The 15227-nt window shown below is 44.6% G+C and overlaps 1 long non-coding RNA gene across 1 annotated transcript, besides 1 other annotated feature; it reads right to left on the bottom strand.

Annotated features, from left to right (window-relative positions):
• Positions 1-1700: 1700 nt before the first annotated feature.
• LOC105373966 (uncharacterized) lies at positions 1701-7698 on the bottom strand. The gene is made up of 3 exons (XR_924055.3): positions 7367-7698; positions 5484-5635; positions 1701-3418 (listed from the first exon to the last, which is right to left on the bottom strand). It is a non-coding gene; the product is annotated as an uncharacterized LOC105373966 (long non-coding RNA).
• Positions 3122-3621: an enhancer, noted in NCBI's record as "H3K4me1 hESC enhancer chr2:240582179-240582678 (GRCh37/hg19 assembly coordinates)". NCBI's record gives its function as "activates a minimal SCP1, AML or CMV promoter by ChIP-STARR-seq in primed H9 embryonic stem cells {active_cell/tissue: H9 hESC(primed)}" and the evidence as "EXISTENCE:reporter gene assay evidence [ECO:0000049][PMID:30033119]".
• Positions 7699-15227: the final 7529 nt, after the last annotated feature.

The following is a 15227-nucleotide window of genomic DNA, read 5'->3' as shown; positions in this document are numbered from 1 at the left end:
TCCTTCATGGACCTCTGCCTGGGGCTTTTTCTGGCCCAGAAAAGTAAGTGTCCCAGACTCCTAATACTTTGGGGAGATGAATTCCAGGTGGGTCCTACACAGTCCTCAGAAGGGGTTGGTGGGGCTGAGTAACACTTGTCCTCAGGAGAGTCCGTCTTATTCATTCACACATTGTGTCTTTTCTTTTCTCCCTGTCTCAGTCCCCTAAATAAACTGCCTGTACGCAAGTCCTGTCTCAGGACCTACTTTCAGGAAAACCCAAACTGAGACAATAGACAAGTTCAACGTTGGTGACATTAGGATGTTGGGGTGAGACCGGCCCAGTAGACACAAATGCAAGGCCCCTGTCCCGGGGACTGTGAGGCTGAAGGGATCCTCGTTTCCTGCACATCCCACTGCACCTCCCTTAGTCACATTGGAAAGATGGGCTGGCAGGGGGATGACCTGCCCCCGCCCAGGAGTAGACGCTGGCCTTAAATTCCTGTATCCTGCTACCCCAAGCAGAGCCAGGCTGGCTGTGTCAGCCAAGCCCAGCTGCAAACCAAGAGCCAGCCTCAGACCCCAGCTCTGTTCATGGAAGCTCCCTGAGACCCAGGAAGGAGAGGAGAGATTGTCCTGACCTCGCTCACTCAGGGGCAACCTCGGGATCCCCTGGGAGAGCCCCTCCACCCTCCCAAACAAGCAGTCTGTCAGGTGAAACCACACACTGCTGCTGCTGATGTGTAGATCACCCAACCCTTCAGCCCTTCCCCTTCTTTGGGGACCCTCCTTTCATGAGAACCTATGAGAAGAGCTCATTTATTCATTCATTTTAAAAAATTCCTCTGCTTGAGCCTTCCTCAGGAGTGTTGTCGCCAGAGGCACCCCCAGTCCAGAGGGAATCCAGCTTCCCAGTCTCAAACCTGCCACCTGTCCAAAAGTTAGAGTTACATTTACATAAATCGGGGGTTGTTTTGATCCAAAGTACCCATTTTTCATCCCATCTCTTTGCCTTCATTTCAGTAGTCAGGGTTGTCAGGAATGTGCTCAGTTATTCAGATTTGCAAACACTATAATAAACACAGGGCGAGCCGTCCGTGGACGTTGTCTGCCTTCTTGTTTCGTTCCACGGTTGGCTGGAGAGCAGGGCAGTGATGTGAAGGCTCCGGGGGGGGCTCCAGCTTCACCACTAACTGGCTGCGTGTCTGGGGCAGGTTAATTATGCACCCAGTGCCTCGTCTTTCTTTTTTGTAGAAAAGATAATGATGCCTGTCAGTCTCAAAAGGGCATGCAAGTGTGCTGGACACAGGGCCCACGCTCTGGCACATAGCAGGTGTTTGACAAAGTCATCTTAGCAGAGACACAGACTCCACCAGCGAATAACCCAGGACCAAGGAAGGATTTTGTTTTTTGGTTCTCTCTCAAGTTCTGCTGTATCTGCAGAGACCAAGTAACAGCCTGAGGCTGATAAGAAAAGTGTTGAGTGATGACAATGAGATGACACGTCCTAGATGCTGCAGCAATGAAAGTCCCTTGGCGTGTGTTGGGTGTAAGCTGAGTCCCTCAGGAAAGGCACAGGAAATGGAGGAGCAGAGTGGAGAGGGAGTGAGCTGGCACAAGAGGATGGGCTTTGGGGAGCGAGAAAAACAAGTCAAGACGCCTTTCAGGAGTCTTTCTGCAGGAAGCACCACACCCACCGCCTCCCTGCCCCTTTAAAAATACTCCCGAAAGATACATTGTATCTTAAGGTGTATGAAACAGATCACAAGTTTGTCCCAATAGGCAGAGACTGTGCCACATGGAGCGCTAAGATTTGTTTGGGTTTCACTGACTATTATTTTTCTTTGATAATAAAGAAACTGGACATTTTCACGGTGAGTCCCACAGTGGGGGTTGGAGCATCTGGGAGTTAGTACCTTTTAGCCAGGGATTTAGCTGTGGCATGCATCCTCCAGCTGACAGTAAGTGAAAGGCTTAACTCAAGAAGAGAAAGGACATCGGTGACGGGCAGGCAGGTGGGGGCTCTGCGGTGCTGCGAGGGTGCTGCCAGGATGCTGCCAGCTCCTGGGGCCACAGTGTGGGTATCTACCTGGTTTCTTCGGCAAACAAAGCATCTGACCCTGTCCTCTTCAAGCATCTGGTCAGCATCAACAGGGTACTATAAACACATTGTCACAGTGTATCAGGAAGGAGGGCGGGATTCAGAGGCTGTCAGACTTTTGTTTCTTACAGTGAAAGATTCGAAGATGCAGACAGCATTACTCACAGCATACAAACCCAGATCCACGCAGGGTCCAGCTGCTTTCAGGTGGCGGATATGCCAAACCCCCCATTTTGGTACAGCCAGAGAGGTATGTTTACCTGATCTACCTCATGCAGCCTTTGAATGCTAAACATTGGACATTGTGACAATGAACTTCCCCACAGAATCTGATTAGAAAGAACAAACAAGGGCAAAGGAAGGGGCTAGGGAATGCTTAGCACATGCCCTGTACTAAGCCCTGAGGAAGCCCTGGGAAGGAGACAGAAGAACCCGACGCGGCTGCTGCCTTAGAAGTTCCTCCAGCCCCATAAAAATCATAGCTAATTAGTATAGTGCAGATTGTGGTCAAATACCACAAACAAACACTCCTGAGGAGGCAGGTCAGAAAGGCTTTCTGAAGAGGGAGGTTCAAGGCGAGCCTTGACTGTCAAGCAGAAAGTGAGAGGCAGAGATGAAGGAGTGGCTCACGCTGGTCAGAGGAGAGGCAGAAAGCCATCAGAACACTGAAGAAATCTCACTGTAACTTTCTTATTTTAGTAGACACCACAAAGAGAATCACGTTGCTGTAAAAAAAAAAAATTGAAGTTTTTCCTAGACTCCTTGCAACATAAGGACCCTAAAGTAATCAGTGACCCTTGCATCCATATTGGGCCATTAAAACTGTTGACTTCTTTATTCCTAAATTGATGCCATTTGAATTCAAAGCATAAAGGCACCGACCTAAAATGTGATGATTATTAAAAGTTCCATGGCTCATCGCTGACACCCTCAGCTAATTTTATTTTTGGTAATTGCGTCAATCCAGCTTCAACTCTTCCTGTTCTAAACTTGTTCCGTGCCTTATGTTTTACAAAGCACTGTCTCACACATGCCTGCTTTGACTTCATGCCCACAACAGCATCGAGTGAAAGAATTTGAAACAGAGAGCGGCAAACTGGGGAATGCACGGCGTCCCCACAAATGGCACATGTGGACTCAACCCCGAGTCCCCGTTTCTTGGTCCAGCATGAAGTGTCTCATCAGCCACCTCCAGCTTCTTCTTCCACCGCTGGTCTCGGGGGGGAACCCAACAGACTCACATTTCATGTGAAAGGAATTTCTGCGGATATGGAAAAAGCAATGGCGGATCTCCACCCTTGAAACTCCAACAGTCTATGGTAGCGATGAGATCCAAACCTGCGAATATTTAGATCATAACAAGGTTACTAACAATGCCGCCTCACACCAGAGGGTGTCTCGTCGGTACTTGACAAATGAATCACCTAGGAGCTTCTCCGTAGGTGGCCAGGTGGAGAGGTGACTCAAGGCTGGGTGGCGAAGCCGGCTCTGGACTGGTGCCCGCCTCTGATGAGGGAGGCAGAGGGAGGTGTCTCAGGTGGGGAGGGCTGGAGCTCAGCATGGATTCAGGACAGCAGGAGGAGGGGCAGTGAGCCCCGCAGTGGGGAGCAGAGTGGGGAACTGAGTGAGGAACAGCTGGGGCCAACCCCAGAGTCACAGAAGTGGCCTAGTGTGGCTCCACCTAGTCTGGGGGGCGGGCGGGGGGTTGCTGGACATTTACTGAGATGGAGCTCAGCAATGTTTTATGAGAAAGAACCTAACACGATGTGGGGCTCAGCAATGTTTTAGGAGAAAGAACCTACCCCGACGGTGTTGGAGCCTGCGTGGGAGGGGCGGGGGAGGACCAGGCAGTGGGGGAGGAGTCACCGCGCCAGCCGGGCCTGGACCAGAGTGGGGGCTGTGTGAAGGGAAAGGCAGGGCGTGGTGGAATAGATACAGTGACAAAACCCTCCACACAACTGCCCCACTACCAATTGACCCAGACGCAAGTTTAGGGCGGAGGCAGGGGTGTGGTCAGTCAGCTTCGAGGCCCCACACAAGGATTCTATTGAGAGAAATCAAACAGAAAACGTGAGGCCAGGCCAGGCGCGGTGGCTCACACCTGTAATCCCAGCACTATGGGAGGCCGAGGCGGGCTGATCATCTGATGTCAGGAGTTCCAGACCAGCCTGACCAACATGGCGAAACCCTGTCTCTACTAAAAATACAAAAATTAGCTGGGCGTGGTGGCAGGTGCCTGTAATCCCAGCTACTCAGGAGGCTGAGGCAGGAGAATAGCTTGAACCTGGGAGGCAGAGGTTGCAGTGAGCCGAGATTGCGCCACTGCACTCCAGCCTGGGAGACGAGAGTGCAACTCAAAAAAAAAAAAAAAAAAAAAAAAAGGAAGGAAGGAAGGAGGGAGGGAGGGAGGGTGAGGCCAGATAGGGTCACAGTCTGGCTGGATGACAAGAAGTTCTGGTTTAGAAAGAAGGGACGAGGGACAAGTGGTGTGGCTCACCAGAGTCCAGGCCTGAGGTGCAGGCAAGTGAACATGTGGGCTCCCAGGGGCACAGAGGAGAGCAGAGGAAGGGGAAGGTGTGAGGGACACAGAAGACAGGAGGGAGGGGAGGGATGGGAGCAGCGGAGAGCAGGGAGGGGAGAGACGGGAGCGGCGGAGAGGAGGGAGGGTAGGAAGGAGAGCAGAGGAGAGGAGGGAGGGAAGGCATGGGAGCCTAGGAGTGGAGGGAGGGGTGGGAATGGAGCAGAGGAGAGGAGGGAAGGGAGGGAAGGGGAGCAGAGGAGAGGAGGGAGGGGACGGAAGGGGAGCAGAGGAGAGGAGGGAGGGGAGGGAAGGGGAGCAGAGGAGAGGAGGGAGGGGAGGGAAGGGGAGCAGAGGAGAGGAGGGAGGGAAGGCATGGGAGCCTAGGAGTGGAGGGAGGGGTGGGAATGGAGCAGAGGAGAGGAGGGAAGGGACGGAAGGGGAGCAGAGGAGAGGAGGGAGGGGACGGAAGGGGAGCAGAGGAGAGGAGGGAGGGGAGGGAAGGGGAGCAGAGGAGAGGAGGGAGGGAAGGCATGGGAGCCTAGGAGTGGAGGGAGGGGTGGGAATGGAGCAGAGGAGAGGAGGGAAGGGAGGGAAGGGGAGCAGAGGAGAGGAGGGAGGGGACGGAAGGGGAGCAGAGGAGAGGAGGGAGGGGAGGGAAGGGGAGCAGAGGAGAGGAGGGAGGGAAGGCATGGGAGCCTAGGAGTGGAGGGAGGGGTGGGAATGGAGCAGAGGAGAGGAGGGAAGGGACGGAAGGGGAGCAGAGGAGAGGAGGGAGGGGACGGAAGGGGAGCAGAGGAGAGGAGGGAGGGGAGGGAAGGGGAGCAGAGGAGAGGAGGAGAGGAGGGAGGGGAGGGAAGGGGAGCAGAGAGAGCCAATACTAACCCTGGGCAGTAACAGCATCCAAGCTAGAGGGAAGAACGGCCTTTGGCAGAAGTCCGGGGGAATGGCCAGCGGTCTTTAGTGGAGGTTCAGGACTGCACCAGTAGGGCCTAAGGAAAGAGCTTAAGGAAGCCCACAGTCCTAACAGTGGCTGGCTGGGGACATAGAGAAGGCCACGAGAGTTGGAAGAAATAGCCAGAAATGATGACAGAAAGTCATTGGTTGGCTCAAAGAGAGTAGTTTCTGTAAAAATATTTTTTAATGAAAAGAAGAAGCCAGATACAAAAGGTTCAAAAGAGAAGGAGATGGTGAAGTCAAGGCCATGAGAGTGGGGCAGACACAAGAGGGGACGGGGCGGGGGTCGGGGGGCAAAGGCAGAAACGAGAGCACCTCTGAGACCCTTGCGGGCAGGGTGCCAGGCAGGTCTGTTGGCCTAAGGGAGAGGGCACTGTGGGGCTGGCAGGGCCCGTCAGAGTTGCACTGCATTCCTCCAAATGTCAGGGCCCCCATGCACCTGCCTTGATCTGACATTGAATGTGACCATCCAGGAAGGCAATGAAAAACACACTTCCACAGAACTGTGCCAGGACAGTGAAAACCTCTCCAACAAAAACTTCTCCCTGATGCCACAGGAAATTAAAAACCCCTTTGAAACAAATACTGCAAGAAGAGATGCAAAAAAAAAAATTCATCTTCAAGAGACAAAAAAAAAAAAAAGTTCTGGAGCCCAGACAAAGAAATGGAAGAGAAAGTTAAGAATATGCAGAAATAAAAGCTTCAGTAGAGAAAACAAAGAACAGATGCTGCTAAAACCAGAAATAGGCAAAGATAGAGCAAAACACAAGGAAAAACGTTAAAATGATGAGAAAGAAAACAATAGATCTGGAAGACAGGCAAAAAAAGGACATAACATGTTCATACATGATATTCCCAAAGCAGAGAACAAAACAAAGAGAACAAAAAAAAAAAATTAAAAATGCAAAGATAGAATAGAAGAAAACTAGAATAAAAGAAGGCTTGAATCCGCGTGGTGAAGGGGAACACTATATCTCAAGAAAAAATTTTACAGAATAAACACATTTTTGTAAAATCACAGGGTTTCAAGAATAAATTATTCTATGAACTCCAGGAAAGAAAAAAAGTGAAGATTCAGTTGGCACCAGAGGATGGAGAAGCCTAAATTTGTATTTTCTTCATGTCTACAGAGCATCTCCCCAAAGTGTTGCTCAAATGTAGAGAAAACAGACAGACATTCTCTAACATCCAAAGACTTCAGGAATGGCACCTGTGAGCTCAATTTGAGAAAACAACCTGACAAACTCCAGACAAGCAAGAGACAAAAAAGACATTAAGTAATGATGATACACTAAATTTAAATCCAGAACTATGGCTAAACTTCTACATAAATATTATTTACAGAGTAAAATTAATTTTATAAATTTCTCAATGAAGAAATAATGATATAACAACAACAACCAAAAAAAAAAAAAAAGGAGGTAAGGTGGGAAACAGATACTTAAAACTATCTCCTAGATACTTAAACTGATATATCAAGTATAGTTTGAGCATCTTTAATTTGAAAACCTAGAATCCGAGACGCTTCAAAATCTGAAACTTTCTGAGCACTGACATGAGGCCACAAGTGTAAAATTTCACACCTGACTTCATGTGATGGGTCACAGTCAAAACACAGGTGCACAACCGTTTATTCAGCATTCCCCAGGGGAAAAAGACCCTCCATCCACTTTCAGTGGTGATATATCTTCTCTGCACACACCCAGATTACCCCACACAAGCACGTCCTCAAAGGGTAAGAAAATGGCATGTGTGCAGGCTGGACATGCCAACAGCGGGTTCCCAAATGTCCCACGTAAGCCAAAACCTACCTGCATGACTCACTGTTTTGTTTTGTTTTTTCTTATTCTCTGCTCTGTGGTGTAAAGATATTGCTGGAAATATTAAAAAGGGCTACAGATACCCCTTTGGGCAAACGTAATAAGAAAAAGACAAAGCATTGATTTATGGCACAGAAAGTCCAGCTGTTGGGGAAATAGGACCACAGCTTAAGTGTGAAATGTCTTAGAAAAGAGCGTGGTGTTGGAATGACCACCATACGTGACCTGAAGAAACAGAAGGACAGACTGTTGAAGTTTTATGACAAAAGTGATGAGCAAAAGCTAGTGACAAATGGGAAAACACTACGTAAAGCTAAAAATAAAGATCGGGTTTGTGTATTGAAAGAGAGGATCTGTCAACATCACAATGAACACACATGCCACTTAATGCCATGCTGATTATGAAACAAGCAGAGACCTGTCACAATGAACTGAAATTAAAGGGAACTGTCCAACAGTTACATTGCAGAAATTTAAGAAAAGACACAGCGCTATTTTATTTTCATTTTTATTTTTTGAGGCAGGGTCTCACTCTTGCCAGGCTGGAGTGCAGTGGCGTGATCTCGGCTCACTGCAACCTTTGCCTCCTGGGTTCAAGCAATTCTTCTGCCTCAGCCTCCCAAGTAGCTGGGATTACAGGCACCTGCCACCATGCCTGGCTAATTTTTGTATTTTTAGTAGAGACGGGGTTTCACCATGTTGGCCAGTCTGGTCTGGAACTCCTGACCTTGTGATCCACCTGCCTCGGCCTCCCAAAGTGCTGGGATTACAGGTGTGAACCACCACGTCCGGCCACAGTGCTAAATTTTTAAAGGTTTATGGTGATAAATCATCTGCTGGTCATGAAGCAAAAAAAAAAAAAAATTCACTGATGACCTGATGAATTTGCCAAGGCCATCACTAGTGAAAATCTGATGCTCAGAAAAAGTCTATAATGTTGATAAAACATTACTGTTCTGGTGTTATTTCCAGAGAAATACACGGACTACCGCTGATGACACAGCTCCTACAGGAGGGACAGAAAGACTTTGCTGGGATTTGCAAATGCAGCAGCCATGTGTACGTGTAAGCTTGCTGTGATAGGCAAGAGCCTGCATCCTTATTATTTTTAAGGAGTGAATTTCTTACCAGTTCATATTTTGCTAACAGAAATGCATGGATCACCAGGAACATCTTTTCTGATTGGTTTCATAAACATTTTGTACCAGTGGCTCATGCTCACTGCAGGGAAGCTGGACTGGATAATTGCAAGATTTTGTTATTCCTTAACAATTGTTTTGCTCATCCTTCAGCTGAAATTCTCATAAAAAATAATGTTTATGCCAAGTACTTTCCCACAAGCATGACTTCACTAATTCAGCCACATGACCAAGGTATCCTTAGATTAATGAAGAATAAATAGAAAATCACTTTCTTAAGGAGCATGCTAGCAGCAGTAAACAGATGTGTGTGTGGGGAAGGTTTTCGAAAGGAATTTAGCATGAAGGCTGTTGTTATATGCTGTTGCCAACCTGGAACACAGTGACCAAAGACACAGTCATGCATGCCTGGCACAGCCTCTGGTGTGTAACTACGTTCAGTGATGATGATGAACAAGGTGGTGACTTTGAAGGATTCCATATGTCAAGTGAGAAAAAGATGATGTCTGACCTTCTTACAGATGCAAGAAATATACCTACACAGTCCATCGGCAAGCGAGAAGAAGTGGATTCCAATAAGTCTTTAACATTCATAATGAGGCTTCAGTTGTGCATTCATCGACCAACGATGAAACAGACAAAAGTTCTGAGTCAAGGTGATGATGATAATAGTGATGCTGAGGATGACGTTGTTAACACTGCAGAAAGGGTGCCTACAGGTGCCATGGCGAGAGTGTGTGTTGGGCTTTTTGAACGACTAGAGCAACATGAATTCATAACAGAGCAAGAAATCATGGCAGTTTATAAAATCCTAGAGAGACTTCTAAGACACACACACAAACGTTACTGACACAGATGACTCTAGAGGAAACATTTAAGAAAGCCATCCAGCAGAAACCCTCCACATCCCTAGAGGATCCACCTCCCGGTCCTTTCCAACTGTTTCTGATGTTTCTTCTCACCTAAAAAAAATACTGCATACAGCAGCCTTGTAATCAAAATGCAGCATTGTAGGTGGTGGCTGGAAGCGGCCATTGTTTGTTGCTGCTGAGGTTTAGAAGCTAGTGCAGGGGTGCCAGTGACGCTGCTGTGCTGCTGAGATACCCTGAACATGATATTTTCTCACTGTGTTAATGGCGTGTCATTTTTTACTGTTAAGTACTTATATGTCAGTAAGTGTAAGAAAATGGTGGCTGATCAGTAGCACATAAATCCAGAGTCAGGAATGATGGTGATGCCAGACAACCCCAGACTGTCCACACCAGTGGCTGAGATAGTGGCACCTTTGCTTTCTAATGGGTCAATGTACACAAGCTTTGTTTCATGCACAAAATTGTATAAAACAATGTATAAAATTGCCTTCAGGCTATTTGTATAAGGTATATAAGAATCATAAATAAATTTTATGTTTAGATTTGGGTTCCATTCCCAAGATATCTCATCATGTACATGCAAATATTCTAAAATCTGAAAAAAATATGAAATCTGAATCACTTCTGGTCTCAAGCATTTTGGATAAGGGAAATACAGCCTGTACTAGGAATTTTAGTATTTCATACAATTATATAAAGATAACCACAGGAAATTAAAAATATAGCATAAACTAAATTGGAAGGTTAAAGGGAAGGAAGTAAGTTAAGAGAAAGGATAAGAGAATAAGTTTCTTGGAGTTAGGAGAGATTATATAAAATCTAACACTTTTCATTAAGAAATAGAGACTACACTATAAGCATGCAAGCTATTAAAAATTACACACAAACACACATAGCTTATAGTAGACAAATGATCTTTAATAAAACAAGATGACAAAAATATAAAAAAATTATATCAATAAACAAATGGGAAAATTAATATATTAATAGGAAATAAAGTTCCCAGGGTTAAAATCCAAAACTTATCAACAGGCCACATACAGTACATGAGCTGCATCTGAACAAAGTGACTCAGAACAGAGAAAAAGAATAGTGGGAAAGGCAAAATAACAAGAAAACACACAAAAATAAAAATAACAATCTACAATAATGATCTAATATTTTTCTGTGAGAAGTAATATTACATTAAAATGCTTAAAGCAAAAACTTCAAGAAACACAAGGATAAATATATCTAGGCTTCACGGAACAAACCAGCCTAATGCTCTCTGAACTGTTCCAGAGAATAGATAGAAAAGTAACACACCAGAACACTTTTTATAAAGTCACCATAACAGTAGCACATAAAGCTAATAGGCAGACACAAAGAGAAACTTTAGACCAATCACATTCAGAAATATCACTGTGAAAATTACAAACACGTCGAATGGAACAGGGCGTTTTGAAAGCATAGCACCCTACAAACTGGGTTCCTTTGAAGAAGAAAGATTGGTCAACACAAGGAACTCAATTTCATAATTTGCTAATTAAATAGGTCATTGGATAAAAGCCATTTGGTTAGCTCTTCTGATTTTTTAAATTAAACTTTTTAATCTAGAGATAATTGTAGATTCACATGCAGTTGTAAGAACTAATACAGAGAAAGCCCATGTGCCCCTTACTCAGTTTCCCCCATGGTAACATCCTACAAAACTCCAATATGATACCACAACCAAGAGACTGATGTTGATGCAGACAAAATAAAGAACATGCCCGTTGCCAGGGACTGTGGCTCACACCTGTAATCCCAGCACTTTGGAAGGCCCAGGCAGGCAGATCACTTGTGCCAAGGAGTTTGAGACCTGCCTGAGTAACACTGTGAGACCCTATCTCTACAACAACAACAAAAAATTACAAAAATTAGCTAGACGTGGTGGTGCACACCTGTACTCCCAGCTATTTGGGTGGCTGAGGCAGGATAGCTTGAGCTCGGGAGGTGGAGTTTGTAGTGAGCCGAGATCGCGCCACTGCACTCCAGCCAGGGCCACAGAGTGAGACCCTGTCTCAAAAAGAAAAAAAAAAAAATAGAACATGCCCATCACAAGAATCCCTCATGCTACCCCCTTTTTTTTTTTTTTTTGAGACGGAGTCTCGCTCTGTCGCCCAGGCTGGAGTCCAGTGGCGCGATCTCGGCTCACTGCAAGCTCCGCCTCCCAGGTTTACGCCATTCTCCTGCCTCAGCCTCCCGAGTAGCTGGGACTGCAGGCGCCCGCCACCACGACTGGCTAATTTTTGTGTTTTTTTTTTTAGTAGAGGCGGGGTTTCACCGCGTTAGCCAGGATGGTCTCGATCTCCTAACTTCGTGATCCGCCTGCCTGGGCCTCCCAAAGTGCTGGGAATACAGGCGTGAGCCACCGCGCCCGGCCCATGCTATCTTTTTAAACCACACTTGCTTCCCATTTTCCGCCCACCCATCCCCATCCCTGACCCCTGGAAACCACCAACCCGCATTACTCCTATACATTTGTCATTTTAAGAATATTACATAAATGTAATCATACACGACATAACTTTGGGAATAGGGTTTTTCCACTGAGTCTAATTCTCTGCAGATTCACCTGAGCTGATGTGTGACTCAATAGTTCAGTTATTTTCATGTTGAGTATTATTCCATGGTGTAGATGTACCACGGTTTATTTAACCATTCACTCCTTTGAGGAGATCTGGGTTGTTTCCAATTTTTGGCTATGATGAATAAAACTGTGATGAATATTTATGTACAGTTTTCGTGCTAGCATAAGTTTTCATTTCTCTGAGGTGAGTATCAAAGTGTACAATTGCTGGCCTGTACAATGGCAGCATGATTCGTCTTACAAGAAAACGCCAAACTGGTCTCCAGAGTGGCTGGATCATTCTGCATTCACACCAGCAATGTACAAGTGACCCAGTTTCTCCACATCCTTGCCAGCATTTGGTGTTGTCACTATTTGTTGTTGTTGTTTTAGCCATACTGATAGTTGTGTCATAATTTTTATCATGTTTTAATTTGCACTTCCCCAATGGCTAATGATATTGAACATCTCTTCATGTGGTTATTTGCTGTCTTTAGTGCCTTTTCTTTGCCCATTTTGTAATTGGGTTCTTAATTGTTATTTGCTGTCTATAGTGCCTTTTCTTTCCCCGTTTTGTAATTGGGTTCTTAATTTTTTATGCTGTTGAGTTTTAGGAGCTTTTTATATAGTCTAGATACAAGTCTTTTGTCAGATAGGTAGTTTATGTATATGTCATTTCACTCAGTAGCTTATTTTTTCGTCCTGTTCCCAGAACAAAGAGTTTTAACTTTAATGAAACCCCATTTATCAAATTGTTCTTTTTTACTTTTGGCCTTAAACCTAAGAATTGTTTGCCTATCCTAGGTCCCAAAGATTTTCACCTATTTCTTTTTTCCCCTAAAACTTTTGTAGTTTTATATTTTACGTTTAGGTCTGCAATGAGATTGGAGTTGGTTTTTGTGTACAGTTAAGTTTGAGGTTCATTTTTTCTGCCTGCAGATGTCCAATGGCTTCAGCACCATGGTTGAAAAGACAAAAGACTGCACTTCTCTTCAATCACTTTTGTGCCTTTGTCAGTAGTTGCTTGGAGATTTTTAATTACAGATTCAATTTCTTAATTGTTTTAGGACTAATCAGGCTGTCTAGTTCATCTTGTGGAGTTTGATAGTTTGAGGGTTGTGAAAAATTGGTCCATTTATTTTACATCGTTAAATTTTGGTCTGCCTGAAATTGGTGACTCATGTCTTTTCTCTTTTTATGTAAGTCAGTCTTGCTAGAGATTTACCAATGTTATTGATTTTTTTCAAAGAACCAGATATTTGCTTTATCGATTTTTTTTCAATTGCTTTCCTATGTGCAACTTCACTGATTTCTGCACTTATTATTTAGTTTCTTCTGGTCGTTTGGGGTTTGTTTTGTTCCTTTTTTTATCATTTCTTAAGATAGAACTTATATTATTGATTTGAGATTTTTCTTCTATTCTAATGTAAGCATTTATAAATTTACAAAATGTACTCTCAGCTGCATCCCACATGGTTTTATATGTTGTGTTTTTATTTTCCTTCAGTTCTATGCATTTTAAAAAATTTCCTTAGAGACTGCATCTTTGACCCATGAATTATTTTGAAGCATTTTGTTTAAATTCTAAGTGTTTGGAGATTTTCCTGTTGTCTTTCTGTACTGATATCTAGTTTGATTCCATTATGGTCAGAGACCATATTGTGTATGATTTCAGTTGTTTTAAACTCGTTGCAGTTTGCTTGAAGGCCCAGGCTATAATCTATCTTGGTTAATGCCCCACGGTTGCTTGAAAAACTGTCTATTCTGCTGCTGCTGAGTGGAGTGCTCACTTAGATACCATCGGTTGGCTGTGTTCTGGTTTTTTGTCTAAGAGTTCTTTCAATTGCTGAAAGTGAAAGATTGAAGGCTCCAACTATAACCTGAGGGTTTATTTTTCCCTTAGGTTCTCATTGGCTTTGCTTCATGTATTCTGAGGCTCTGTGTTTGGTGCATGCAGATTTAGGATTTTTATGTCTTCCTAGTGGATCAATCATTATGTTAATATGGACTGTCTCTCTTTGTCTCTAGCAATTTTCTTTGATCTCAAGCCCCCTTTACCTGACATTAATACAGCTACTCCTGATTTTTTTTTTTTTTTGAGACAGAGTTTCAATCTCGTTTCCCTGGCTGGAGTGCAAAGGTGTGGTCTCAGCTCACTGCAACCTCCACTTCCTGGGTTCAAGTGGTTCTCCTGCCTCAGCCTCCCAAGTAGCTGGGATTACAGGTGCATGCCATCACATCTGGCTAATTTTTGTATTTTTAGTAGAAACGGGGTTCCACCATGTTGGCCAGGCTGGTCTCAAGCTCCTGACCTCAAAAGATCCACCTGCCTTGGCCTCACAAAGTGCTGTGATTACCTGCGTGAGCCACCATGCCCAGCCTACTCCTGATTTTTTTAAATTAATGTCTGTATGATATGTCTTTTCCCACCCCTTCTTGGCATATATTTATTTGTGTTTAATCTATTTAGCATCTATTCAGCTTACTGAATCTGTAAGTTTATGTTTTGCATCAGATTTGGGGATTTTTCAGCCATCGTATTCTGGAGTACTTCTTCAGTCCCATTCTCTGTCTCCTCTTTCTCTGGGACTCCAGTGACACAAATGTCAACCCCCTTGTTACTGTCACGTGACTGTCTCAGGCTTTGTTCTTGGCTGTTGTTATTCTGTCTTCCCTCTATTCCTCAGATTGGGGTAATTCAGTTGATTATTCTCAAGTTCACTACCTCTATTCTCAGTCATTTTCATTCTATGATCAAGTCCATCCAGCAAGGTTTTTATTTTACTTGTCGTATTTGTTAGTTCTCTGATTTTCTTTGGTTCTTTCTTGTAATGGCTACTTATTTGCTGAGATTTTCTTAAAAAATGTTTCAAGAGTATTTGTAACTATTTGTTGAAGCATTTTTATGATGTCTGCTTTAAAATCCTTTTCAAGTATTTCCAACATCAGCTTCATCTCACTGTTAATGTCTGTTGATTTTGTTTTCTCATTGAACTTGTGATTTTCTTGGTTCTAGATAAGACAAGTCATTTTTTATTATCTTCCAGACATCTTGAATATCATATGATGAGACTCTGGATCCTATTTAATCTTTTTGTAGTGTGAGGGTCAGGTGGGTGTGTGTGTTTAGCTTCCTACTGGGCCCCCCAGCACAGGTGGAGTTCCAGCTCACAGTGCCACACTGCAGACGTAAGGGCCAGCTGTTCAGCCCCTGCCAGCCCCATGGATGCTTTTCTGACTCTCACTGCCTT

The sequence above is a fragment of the Homo sapiens genome, chromosome 2 (genome assembly GCF_000001405.40).
Source record: "Homo sapiens chromosome 2, GRCh38.p14 Primary Assembly".
In the NCBI taxonomy this organism is placed as follows: Eukaryota; Metazoa; Chordata; class Mammalia; order Primates; family Hominidae; genus Homo; species Homo sapiens.
The sequence above is the reverse complement of the archived record's forward strand: the minus strand, read 5'-3'. Positions and strand labels throughout refer to the sequence as shown.